Genomic DNA, 13,183 nt, shown 5'->3' on the forward strand with positions numbered 1-13,183 from the left:
GCCAGTTTCATAAAAATCCTCATCGCTTTTAAGTTAGAGCAATTAAAAATGAAACAAAAGGACTTGAGCATTCAATAGGAATATGAATACAAGTGAGTTTAGTTGAAATAAATACTAATTAAAAAATGAAAACAGTGCTGCTTAACGGATGGTAAGTTGCAGTTTGAATCATGGTTACTCTTAGGTGGATTTATGATTAGTTAGCATGTTCCATGATTGATTTGTTTATGTACTTCCTTAATTAGAAAAAAAAAACTTTCTGTCTCTTTATATTTAGGGATTTTAGCCATTGGTTTAATTAATGAAGCCCTGGATGAAGGTGATGCCCAAAAGACTCTGCAGGCCCTACAGATTCCTGCAGCTAAACTTGAGGGAGTCCTTGCAGAAGTGGCCCAGCATTACCAAGACACGCTGATTAGAGCGAAGAGAGAGAAAGCCCAGGTGAGTGGCATCGGAATTGTTCTTTATGTTCAGAGCACCTCAGCCCTCCTAGAACAAAGGTAGAGGTAGGAATATCTTCCTTGATTCATTCAGTGAATGCCTTCTGGGCACCCTTAGATTCAAAGCACTGGAGGGACACAAAAATGTGAGAGACATAGGCTCCACCTACTAGGAGCTCATGCTGTTTTACACATTTGGGTTTTTGTTCTTTTGTTTGTTGTTGACAGTCTTTTGTGTCTCTTTCAGTAAATTCTTTACTGAAATATAAGATCCAGGGCTGGGCGCAGTGGCTCACGCCTTGTAATCCCACAGCACTTTGAGAGGCCAAGGCAGGCAGATCCCTTGAGGCCAGGAGTTCAAGACCAGCCTGGCCAACATGGTGAAACCTCATCTCTACTAAAAAAAAAAAAAAAAATACAAAAATTAGCTGGGCGTGGTGGTGCATGCCTGTAATCCCAGCTACTTGGTAGGCTGAGGCACAGGAATTACTTGAGCCTGAGAGGTGGAGGTTGCAGTGAGCCGAGATTGCGCCACTGCACTCCAGTCTGGGGGACAGAGTAAGACTCCGTCTCAAAAAAATATATATATATATATATGTGTGTGTGTGTGTATATATATATATACGTATATATATAATATACGTATATATACATATATACGATCCAGAAAAAAAAATATATATATATGATCCAGAAAAATGAACAAGGTAGATGGGTATGCAATTGCATAAATTTTCAAAAGGAGGCACACCTGTGTATTTGGCAGTCAGATTGTAGAACCCATTACCAGCACCACAGAGACCTTCCTCATATCCCCTTCCACCCTTAGCCACCCTCCATTTGGTGGTAAGCACTATTCTGATTTCTATTAATAACACCACAGTTCATTTCCGTCCACTTTTGAGCTGTATTTAAGTGGGATCATACCTTATGTGCTCTTTTGTGTCTGGCTTCTGTTGCCCTAAATAATGTTAATGATATGCATCCATGTGGTTGCATGGAGCCATCCTTTGCTCATTCTCATTGTTGTGTACTATTTCATTGTGTGGTTATATGTTATTGGTGAAGTTTTTTGTTGTTTTGTTTGTTTTTTCAGACTGTTGTAAATAGGGCTTCTTTGTTTTTTTTTTGAGACGGAGTCTTGCTCTGTCACCCAGGCTAGAGTGCAATGACGCAATCTCAGCTCACTGCAACTTCTGCCTCCCAGGTTCAAGCAATTCTCCTGCCTCTGCCTCCCCAGTACCTAGGATTACAGGCGAGAGCCACCATGCCTGGCTAAAATTTTTTTTTTTTTTTTTTGTATTTTTTGTAGAGATGGGGTTTCACCATGTTGGCCAGTTTGGTCTCGAACTCCTGACCTCAAGTGATCTGCCCGCCTCAGCCTCCCAAAGTGTTGGGAATTACAGGCATGAGCCACTGCCCATGGCCTGTAAATAGTGCTTCTATGAATTTTTAATTTTGGTTAAAAACATATATGTGCATTTCTGTTAGGTATACATTTTGGAGAGGAGTTATGGCCATAGGGAACACATATATGAAGCTTTAATAGATAATGTCATGAAGGTTTTTTGTGACAACTTAATTGAAACGTAATTCACGTATCAGGTAATTCAGCGTCAGTGGACTTTAGTACGTTGATAGAATTGTGCAGTCATCACCACAGTCAATTTTTGAACATTTCATCACCCCAAGAGAAACTCAGTACCCATTAGTAGTCACTCATTTTCCCTTAATCTCCCCCAGCCCTGGGCAACCATCAGACTGCTGGTTTGTCTATGGGTTTGTCTATTCTGAACATTTCATATAAATGGAGTTATGCAATGTATGGTCGTTTGTGACTGGCTTCTTTTAGCTTAGTTTATCCAAGCTGTAGCAGTAGCACTTCATTTCTTTTTGTTGCTGAATAATATTCCATTGTATGACTGTACCACATTTTATTTATTTATTCATGAGTTGATGACACATGGATTATTTCCACTTTACCACATTTTATTTATCCATTCATGAGTTGATGACATATGAATTATTTGCACTTTATTCGTGATTTGATAGACACTTAGCATGAGTGACAGCTATATAAGTTGTATCTTCAATCTACTTCCCTTTTTAGATATGGAAGCCGACCTAGCTTATTCTCCGAAACCCCACTCCTCTGACAGTCAGATATAAGGCTCCCTTTGGACTTTCTTAGCAGCAAAAACAAACATTACTACCACTAGCATACATAGAATCATTGCAGCCTGACACATTAGAGATTCTGAATCAGTAGAATTAGACTTTAAGCTTAGGAATCTGTATTTTAAAAATGACTTTTTCATTGTTCTGATGACCAGCCAAGTTTGGGAAACACTAATCTAATAAAATGAATCAAAGACAGAGACTTCCATTTCTAGCTTCCCTAGAGCCAACTACTTCTTATCCGAGTAAGTAAAATCAGTTGATCTCAATTTCCTGGCTATGAAATAGCAGTTGTGATTCAACCCTCTCCACAGCATCAAGTGACATTCTGCATAATTATATCTCTTAAATGAAACCTGGTAGTATCTATCAGATACTACACTTACATGATTAGGACATGGTAATGTCAACTACTGCCATGCCAATGTAATCAAAGGAGATCAGTCAACATCATAATATTACCAACATATAAAATTGCCCACTCCTCTACCCTTCACCAAAACTTACAGAGCCCACACGAGTGTCAGTGTGCAAAAAGCTCCAATACACTAAAGCCTTGGTCTGTTTTTATACGTCTGGCTACTCAGAATTAAAAATTTCTTTTAGCCCTTCCGCTTGCTGCCTCACTTCAGGAGTCTTCTGAAGGCTATGGTTCTATCCAGTTGTTGTTACTTAGTAAGCACTGAAAAGGAGGTCAATCACAATTAGAAAACAGATGTTAATTATGCTTTAATCAACAATTATTTGAGGGCCTACTACATACAAGGCAACTTCCTAGACAGCAACAGCATAAAAAGAGGCATAAACCTTGTCAATTTCCTCAGCAAACTAGGTAGCGGGTAAGACAAACATTTTAAAAGATGAGTTTATGTTACAATTACTTTAACAACTTTATCTTCATAGTAGCATTATTCCTGATAGCCACAGTGGAAAAAAACAGTATGTCTATCAAGTCAGGAATAGATAAAGTGTAAATAATTCAAAAGGCTGTGTGTGCGTTTTGTTTGGGTCATCGGAGTAAAACTTTTTGAGGATGTGACTATAGAGTTTGAAGCATTTCCTTTGCTGTGGAATAACTTTTCAGACTTCATCAAAGGCGGAGGAAGTCGGGGGAGTTAAAGGAAAAATTGCTTAACATTGCCAGGCCCAGCTGGGTGAACTACACATTGGGTGGAATTGTTTTTTGTTTGTTTGTTTTTGGTTTGGGTTTTTTGTTTTGTTTTGTTTTGTTTTTTGTTTTTGGCATCACCTGAGCATCTAAGTCTCCATCAGCCATTTGGGAGTGTTTTTAAAAATATTTATCACTGAGTTACAAATTTAGAGAGCAAAAGATCTTAATTTAAATTTGGTCTGTAGTTTTATTTTCTTCTGATATCTTTGTGTTTGGTTTTGGTATCAGGGTAATACTGGCCTCATGACTTGAAGTGTTCCTTTTATATTTTCAAAGAGTTTGTAAAGGATTAGCTAGTTCTTTAAACATTTGTTACAAGTCACCAGTGAGGCCACGTGGTCCGGAGTTTTTTGTGTGGGGGATATTTTTTGTTTTGTTTTGAGCTGCAGTACTGTGTAGGAAAGGGGTCCCGATGCAGACCCCAAGAGATGGTTCTTGGATCTCACACAAGAAAGAATTCAGAGAGAGTCCATAGAGTGAAGTGGAAGCAAGTTTATTAAGAAAGTAAAGGAATAAAAGAATGGCTTCTCCATAGACAGAGCAGCCCTGAGGGCCGCTGGTTGCCCATTTTATATTTCATGATGATATGCTAAACAAGAGCTTTATCAGATCTTTTCTGAGCATGTGCACAGCCCACACATGCACTGTGGCCTCCTAGATCCCATCCAGGAATATGTCAAGTTGTCAGAGCTCTCCATGAACATCTCATTCTCCAGCTTTTCCTTATAAGGTTTTTAGTTAGTCTCTTGTTTGCCTAAACTGTTATCCTTAATGTTTTTGACAATTGCTTTTGGAGAAAAGGCTGTTTGCAGTGGATGAGCTCTTGGTCAGGTCAAATAAAGACAGCCATGCGAGTGTGACCTCTGAACAGGTCAGCTAATGACAGTTCTTTGGGAATGGGGCTTTGAAGGGATGGTAGGAGGGGCAGATTGGAATAGGGGAGTTTAAAGCACCACAGAACTCACTGTTCTTACTGAGTTTCAGCTGTTTTTCTTGAATGCATTCTCCAATTTCTGCAAGCCTTTGGTTAATTTCTACCGTATTGAAAAAACTGGCCGGGTGCAGTGGCTCATGCTTGTAATCCCAGCACGTTGGGATGCCAAGGCGGGTGGATAGTTTGAGCCCAGGAATTTGAGACCAGGCTGGGCAAGATGGTAAAACCCTGTCTTAACGAAAAATAAAAATATTAGCTGGACACGGTGGTGTGCACCTGTGGTCCCAGGCACTTGGGAGGTTGAGATGGAAGGATCACTTGGGCCTAGGGGGCTGAGGTTGCGGTGAGCCAAGATTGCACCACTGCACTCCAGCCTGAGTGACAAAGCAAGACCCTGTCTTTAAAAAAAAAAAAAAAAAAAAAAAAGGGCTGGGCGCAGTGCCTCATCCCTGTAATCCCAGCACTTTGGGAGTCCCAGGTGGGCAGATCACCTGTGGTCAGGAGTTCGAGACCAGCCTGGCCAACATGGTGAAACTCCATCTCTACTAAAAATACAAAAAATTAGCCAGGCGTGGTGGCAGGCACCTGTAATCGCAGCTACCCAGGAGGCTGAGGCAGGAGAATCACTTGAACCCAGGAGGTGGAGGTTGCAATGAGCACCACTGCACTCCAGCTTGGGTGACAAGAGTGAAACTCCGTCTCAAAAAAAGAAAAACTGATGCTGGTGATTGTTTGCCAGTGTACCAATGTTTTTTGTTTGTTTGTTTTTCATGGTGGAGAGGATTTTCAGAGGTCTTTACCATTTTCACTAATGTCACGTTTCTCTTCATTAAATTTAGTGTTTGTGGGACTCTTGATAAAAGTGGATTACTAGTCGTGAGTAGTACAGTCTGAATGCAAGACATGGATATCAGGGCTCCTCAAGAACTCATTTTATAATTAAGAATATGAATGACTTAGGCCGTGTGTGGTGGCTTACGCCTATAATCCCGGCACTTTGGGAGGTCAAGGCAGGCGGATCACTTGAGGTCAGGAGTTTGAGACCAGCCTGGCTGACATGGCGAAACTCCATCTCTACTAAAAATACAGGTGTGGTGTACACCCCTGTAGTCCCAGCTACTCAGGAGGCTGAGGCAGGAGGATTGCTTGAACCCGGGAGTAGGAGGTTGCAGTAAGCTGAGATCATACCACTGCACTCCAGCCTGGGTGACAGCGAAGCTGCATCTCAAAAAGGAAGAAAGAATAAGAATGACTTAAATCGGCTGGGTGCGGTGGCTTACACCTGTAATCTTTGTACTTTGGGAGGCTGAGGCAGGTGGATCACGAGGTCAGGAGATCAAGACCATCTTGGCTAACACAGTGAAACCCCATCTCTACTAAAAACACAAAAAAAAAAAAAAAAGAAAAAAAAAAAATTAGCCCGGCATGGTGGTAGGCGCCTGCGCCTTTAGTCCCAGCTACTCGGGAGGCTGAGGCAGGAGAATGGCATGAACCCAGGAGGTGGAGCTTGCAGTGAGCCAAGATCGGGCCACTGCACTCCAGTCTGGGCGACAGAGCGAGACTCTGTCTCAAAAAAAAAGAATGACTTAAATCTCTCTCTGACCTCCATGTGTGTATATGCACTTATGCACACATGCTTATATACATGTAGCTAGTAATCAGCTGGTTCACACCAGCACAGCTGTACCAGTTGTTAGGACATTGAAATTCTTTTATTTTGTTTGGTACATTGTTACTGTCCCAACCCTCCCATATCTTTGCCATCACTCCCCAACTCTAATTGAAATCCCACTATATGGCAACTAAACCAGCAGTGACCATAAGGACTCTGCTCCATCCTGATTGGTCAGTGCTTATGTTGTGTAGTTGATAAACGTGTTGTACAGATTTGTGTATGTGTGTTTATGTGTGTATGTGGTATATATGTGGTTATATATTTATATATGTAATATTGGGTCTATCATCACACATGCAAACCAAGCCACATAGTAAGTAAAGTCTTTTTAAAAAGTTTTGAGTGATGAGAAGTGCCCTTTAGAGGGGTGTGTGAGTGTGTGCTTTCCATATATACATGTACATAACATAGTCATTCCTTTGCCTCTTCCCCCTTTTCCTGTGTTTGTGGCTTCTTCACCTCTTCTACCTCCAATCATTGCCCACTCTTTTTTTAAATTCTGACTTCTGGTCCCTATCTCTTTACCTCTTCTGAAATGCAATCAGCGTGTTTCTAAGTGTCAGAGTTGTTAGGGAGCTGTGCTTGAATATATCTTAGATAGCATTTTTACAGCAAATCTGTTTTCTCTCCATAATATCTAGCCTGGGCTTTAACACTCTGCTCAGTCATTTGAGTTAATCTTTAGGTAATCTCTTTAAAACAAATTTTACCAGAAGGATTTGGGTTTTGTCATTTTATTCAGTCTAATTGGAGCAGAAAGAACCTGTTCTTTCTTCTTACACTGGGATGAGGTGTAGTGTATGCTGTCTCTCTTTCCTTCTTCATTCTGGTGAGGGGCTTTTCTGTATTAATGTTTCCCTGAAACACCTGAGACACCCATCCATTCACTTTTTCTTGCCTTTCATACTATTGCTCTATTGCTTATTTCTTAAGGAGTATGTATGAAAGGTTTTACTTTAATCTGCATGGGGCAGGGAAGAAAGAATTCTGAATGCTTAGAAAGGTTCTACCTTTCTCAATGCAAGGGAGGTTGTGCTAAGTCTCACAACTTTGCTTACAGCAGATTCTGCTCAGATATCTGTTGTATGATTATCCCAGAAGTGAACCCAAAATGGCTTGATTCTGTGGAAATGCTTCTGTTTTTATGATACGAGGATTTTTCTGCTGCTTCTCTTGGAGACTAGACCATCAGCCCTCTCGCTTATGACTTCACAATTTAAGTTGTCACAAGCCTGCAGCTGACTCATTGTATTGTCTCACATTGGAACTATTGTCTAGTATTTCCAGTAGTTATTCTTAGGACTCTAGGGGATGGTGTGTGGTCATTTTCTATTTTCAGTAATAGAAAGCGACTAGTGGTAGGAAGGTACTAGGTTCTGCAGCTTTTAAGTGATTTATTTGTTCTTGCATTCTATTTATCTGTTTACTCTTTCCCTTTCCCAAGACTGTGAGCTTCTTAAAATTGGGACAGTGCCTCTTAGAATTGTAAGGCCAGCACCTACCATAATTAGGTTAAATGATCTTTCTAAAAGACTGCATTTAAGAGAAATCACTGCTTTCAATTTCAGATGCTTTCCTTTGGCCTTATCCTGTCACCTGCACTCTTTATAAATTGCAGGGATTGTGGCTGCTTCACTATATGGAGTGAAATGTTGTGTCTTTCTCTAATAAAACAGGAGGAAAGCCAAGCCTTCCCTAAGGTTTTGTGACTTCAACTGTTGGGCAGTGAAACGTTTCACTTTGCCTCAAAGCTCAGACCCTGCCTCATTTAGGCACATAGTTATGGTGATTTACTAAGTTCTTTATTCTGCCTCATTCATGCCTTGGCAAATTATATTCACATCGAGCAATCTAAATGAATTTTTGAGCTGCTATTTATACCAACTGCTGTTAGCTCAAGCCTCAGGAGTATGTTAATTTTGTTGGGTCTGCGTAGATCACCACAAACATGACTCTCACAACCTGGCCACTTTAAAACCTGAAGTGCCTTGTCTTTTCTAGAGAAGATTGCCCCAGTAATCTGCTGAATTGATGCTCTCTGTAAAGACCTTACAGGCATCTTAATAAAGAACCCCCACTCTTTTGAGATCGTTGAAACCTACATAACCTCAGTATGACCATGGAAATCTAATGGGGTATCAGCAGTGGTTTCTGATTCTATCACACTGAGAGTAGGTAGAAGTAGAATCCTATTGTGCTAACTCTCAGTAACAGTAGTGACTACCTGGGGCTAATCCATAAGCTACTTCCCCAAATTGAAATATGGCAGCCACATTCTTGAAAATTGGAAGATAACGGCCAGGCGCAGTGGCTCACACCTGTAATCCCAGCACTATGGGAGGCCAGGACGTGCAGATCACAAGGTCAGGAGATTGAGACCATCCTGGCTAACATGGTGAAACCCCGTCTCTACTAAAAAAATACAAAAAATTAGCTGGGCGTGGTGGCGGGTGCACGTAGTCCCAGCTACTCGGGAGGCTGAGGCAGGAGAATGGCGTGAACCTGGAAGGCAGAGCTTGCAGTGAGCCGAGATCACGCCACTGCACTCCAGTCTGAGTGACAGAGCGAGACTCTGTCTCAAAAAAAAAAAAAATTGGAAGATATTAGAGGAAGGTATTTCTACTAATCTAATTCTGTTTAAAATGCCATTCAGAGCAAATGGTCACCAATAAGCGCCTTTAAAAAAGAAACTTGTCTTAACGAATTTAGGAAGAGGAAAGTAAGTCACCTCCACTACATCATACATCATCTCTATCCACAATAGTCAACTCAGACTATGCTGTGAGGCTTTTGTTAGCTGTACTAAGGAAAGTAATCACAACATTCATTATATTTCTGTGTGAAAATTTGCTTTTAAGTTCCCAGCAACTGATTTAACATTCAAGTTTTAGGATATCAGCTAGTGAGAAATGTAGATTGCCTGTAGTGACTTCTGGCTTTAAATGTGATGAGTCAAAGATTCTGGTTAAAGTAAGACTTGACAGTCTTAAAAACATTAGTAGTCATAGAGAACGTTAACTTCCTCTGAACATTGTTGGCAAAGGAGGCTTTCAAATAAGTACTGCATATTCATATATATACCCTGGCCCTTGTCACCCTGTTAAAGTCTCTGGACCCCTTCCCAGTCTGTCTGGGCCTCTTGCCCCTTCTAGCTGTTCACAACTTCCTGAACCACTTAAATTCATCTTTATATAATCTTCACCTACATGTGAGCCATTTCCCTTATCTTATGACCTTTACCAGTTTGTTTGTTTTTGGAGACCGGTCTATACTCTTGACTGGAGTGCAGTGGTAAGAACATGGCTCACTGCAGCCTAACCTCCTGGGCTCAAGCAATCCTGCCTCAGCCTCCCTAGTAGCTGGGACTATAGGCGTGCACCACCATGCCTGGCCAAGCTATGTTTGTTTGTTTGTTTGTTTGTTTGTTTGTTTGTTTTTAGAGAGACGGGGTCTCACTATGTTGCCCAGGCTGGTCTCGAGCTCCTGGGCTCAAGCATTCCTTCTGCCTCAGCGCCCCCAAAGTGTTGGATTACAGGTGTGAGTCACTGCATCCAACTTTTTACCAGTTTTTTGATGCCTCCTTCTTCCATTTGACTAACCCACGTGTCTCATATTTTTTAAGCCTGTTCTTCCATATTTAATTGAGTCTAGGAAGCCCCCTTCTTCACATGTATGTTACATGTACCCTGATTTCATGACTTTAATATTTTGCTTTTAATGATATGTAGGAAATCCAGGATGAGTCAGCTGTGTTATGGTTGGATGAAATTCAAGGTGGAATCTGGCAGTCCAACAAAGACACCCAAGAAGCACAGAAGTGTATGTATCACCTGTTTTATTTCTGTTTTGGTGGAGGCTGGGGTGACAAGGTGCTCCGTACAGCTTGACCAAGATAGGTATGGGGGAACAATTTGCCAGTAGATATAGTTAGGTGAAGCAGTATGTGAATTTAGACACTCTCTAAACTATTCTGGTAACAGTTCTTTCCCGAAATAGTTGCCTTAGGAATCTTTGCCATTAATGAGGCAGTAGAAAGTGGTGATGTTGGCAAAACACTGAGTGCCCTTCGCTCCCCTGATGTTGGCTTGTATGGAGTCATCCCTGAGTGTGGTGAAACTTACCACAGTGATCTTGCTGAAGCCAAGAAGAAAAAACTGGCAGTAGGTGAGTTCTGGGATAATACATATGTGCCCTGAAGCTAACCCTTGAGTATATGAGGGGACAGATGTAGAGGAAAGGGATAAGCTATAGGGAAAGACCTTTTAGCATAGATGTACAGTACTTAGGCTCATTTTAAAGGAGATAAAATCCCTATTTTTGAAAATATCCTTCCCCCCCCCCTTGTGGACAGCTGTGTTAATAAGGCCAATTTTCTGAGAATGTGGGAAAGATTAAAATATTTAACTGTTTATCTTTCACAGAGTAGCAGTAGCTCTGATTAAGCCTATAGGCAATTAAAAGTAGTTTGTCTGTAAAAAGAGGGAAAGAAATAAGATTTCTTACCCCATTTTATGGACTTTTAAAAATTAAAAAACTGGGCCGGGTGCGGTGGCACACGCCTGTAATCCCAGCACTTTGGGAGGCTGAGGCGGGCAGATCGCCTGAGGTCAGGAGTTCAAGACTAGCCTGGCCAACATGGTAAAACCCTGTCTCTACTAAAAATACAAAAATTAGCTGAGTGTGGTGGCGTGTGCCTGTAATCCCAGCTACCCGGGAGGCTGGGGCCGGAGAATCGCCTGAACCCGGGAGGCAGAGGCTGCCGTGAGCCAAGATCATGCCACTGCATTCCAGCCTGGGCAACAGAGCAAGACTCTGTCTGAAAAAAAAAATAATAATAATAAATTGAAAAACTGGAGAGGCTGAATGGTTGCACATTTTTTAAGACAGACAGGCCTTAAACTTTGGCTTTGGAGTGAACAAAGTTAATCATGGTTAATTCCATAATTGGACTTCATAGGTATTTTCTTCTTATAGACATAAATGAGCTAAATTAGTCATTACAAAGCCATAATTTAATGGGAGCTTAGCATGCCCCTTTACTCTCACAGATCCAAGGAGCAGCTTTTGGAGTGGTCTTCATTTAGACTGTGAGACTAACTAATAATCCTGCAGTTCTGGACGTACAGCTGGGGAGTGTGGCTCTGGATGTCTTCTATCTTTCCTTTATTTTCTGCCAGGAGATAATAACAGCAAGTGGGTGAAGCACTGGGTAAAAGGTGGATATTATTATTACCACAATCTGGAGACCCAGGAAGGAGGATGGGATGAACCTCCAAATTTTGTGCAAAATTCTATGCAGCTTTCTCGGGAGGAGATCCAGGTAGGTTACCTTTCTTCACGTAAGAAGAAGCTGAGAGAAAGTGTTTTCAAGCTATAATATTAATTAAGAGGAACAGGGCATGTGGTCAGAAGCCCTAGACTAAAATTGAGGTTATGTAATGAGCTGTTTTGCGGTAATTTTTTTGTAGTAGTTGGGGGAGTGACTGAGGCCTGAATTTGTAAAACATCTGAATTATAGAATTAAGTGATATAAACCATATGCTAAGAAAAGTTAGATGATCTATAAAAGAAAAATGAAAAGTTGCTAACTCCATTAAATGCAACTATTTTAATCTCTCCCAGTTTATATTTTCAGTCTCTCTTCTAACTGTTCCACAAATTATATTAGCTACAACCTGCACTTTCAAATAAAGTTAGCATTTTCATAGAGCTTTTAAAGTACTTTTTCATCTTCTGTGTCTTTGTGTCTTTGCTTATACTGTTCCATTCAACAGTTTTTGTTTGTTTGTTTGTTTGTTTTTTGTTTTTTTTTTGAAACAGAGTCTCACTGTGTCACCTAGGCTGGAGTGCAGTGGTGCATTCTCGGCTCACTGCAACCTCCACCTCCCTGGGTTCAAGCGATTCTTCTGCCTCAGCCTCCCGAATACCTGGGATTACAGGCATGCACCACACCTGGCTAATTTTGTAATTTTAGTAGAGACGAGGTTTTGCCCTGTTGGCCAGGCTGGTCTTGAACTCCTGGCCTCAAGTGGTCCACCCGCCTCAGCCTCCCAAAGTACTGGGATTACAGGCGTGAGCCAGCACACCCAGCCCATTCAACAGTTATTTGTTGAATACCTCAAATGTAGCAGGTACTCTTCTAAGGAATGGGGATATAGTCATGAACCAAACAAAGTCTCTGCTGTCATGAGATGTCTCTCCCCTGCCATCTATATCTGTCAAAATTCTTTCCTTCCCTTTGTACTGATTGTTGGTATCATAAAAGAAAAAAATTCAGGCTGGGCATGGTGGCTCACACCTGTAATCCCAGCACTTTGAGAGGCTAAGGCAAAAAGACTGCTTGAGCCCAGGAGTTCAAGACAAGCCTGGGCAACATGGTGAAACCTCATCTCTGCAAAAAATACAAAAATTAGCTGGGCATAGTGGTGTGTGTCTGTGATTCCAGCTACTTGGGAGGATGAGGCAGAAGGATCACTTGAGCCCGGGAGGTCAAGGCTGTAACGAGCCATGATCACAGCAGTGCACTCCAGCCTGGGCAACAGAGCAAGACCCTGTCTCAAAAAAAGGAATATTTAATTTAAAAATTCAGTCCTCCAAGCACACCCATCTCAAGTCACCTCCTCTATGAATCTTTTTAAAATTTCCTTTCCTTACCCCCTTCATCTTCCTTTGAAGCTCCCAAAGAACTTGGTATTCATTCAGAATTTAATGTACTTGGATTCGAATTTTAGTGACATTTGTGCTTGTCTATGCCCCCTAGTAGTTTTTAAGGTGAGCTGCTAAGT

At 41.3% G+C, this 13,183-nt stretch overlaps 1 protein-coding gene across 2 annotated transcripts in view, besides 2 other annotated features; it reads left to right on the forward strand.

Moving 5' to 3' along the window:
* The window catches only part of IQGAP1 (IQ motif containing GTPase activating protein 1), a 113,998-nt gene that overhangs the window by 67,633 nt on the left and 33,182 nt on the right, over positions 1-13,183 (forward strand). For both annotated transcript variants that reach the window (NM_003870.4, XM_047433204.1), the window contains exons 15-18: positions 278-441; positions 10,127-10,217; positions 10,395-10,562; positions 11,576-11,718. In NM_003870.4, coding sequence (NP_003861.1) covers positions 278-441; positions 10,127-10,217; positions 10,395-10,562; positions 11,576-11,718 — 566 coding nt within the window. The remainder of the gene's footprint in view (positions 1-277; positions 442-10,126; positions 10,218-10,394; positions 10,563-11,575; positions 11,719-13,183) is intronic.
* Positions 277-788: an enhancer, noted in NCBI's record as "NANOG hESC enhancer chr15:90999383-90999894 (GRCh37/hg19 assembly coordinates)". NCBI's record gives its function as "activates a minimal SCP1, AML or CMV promoter by ChIP-STARR-seq in primed H9 embryonic stem cells {active_cell/tissue: H9 hESC(primed)}" and the evidence as "EXISTENCE:reporter gene assay evidence [ECO:0000049][PMID:30033119]".
* Positions 7,719-7,808: an enhancer, noted in NCBI's record as "active region_10078". NCBI's record gives its function as "activates an Ori minimal core promoter by ATAC-STARR-seq in GM12878 lymphoblastoid cells {active_cell/tissue: GM12878}" and the evidence as "EXISTENCE:reporter gene assay evidence [ECO:0000049][PMID:35858748]".

This window comes from Homo sapiens, chromosome 15, assembly GCF_000001405.40.
Source record: "Homo sapiens chromosome 15, GRCh38.p14 Primary Assembly".
Taxonomy (NCBI): Eukaryota; Metazoa; Chordata; class Mammalia; order Primates; family Hominidae; genus Homo; species Homo sapiens.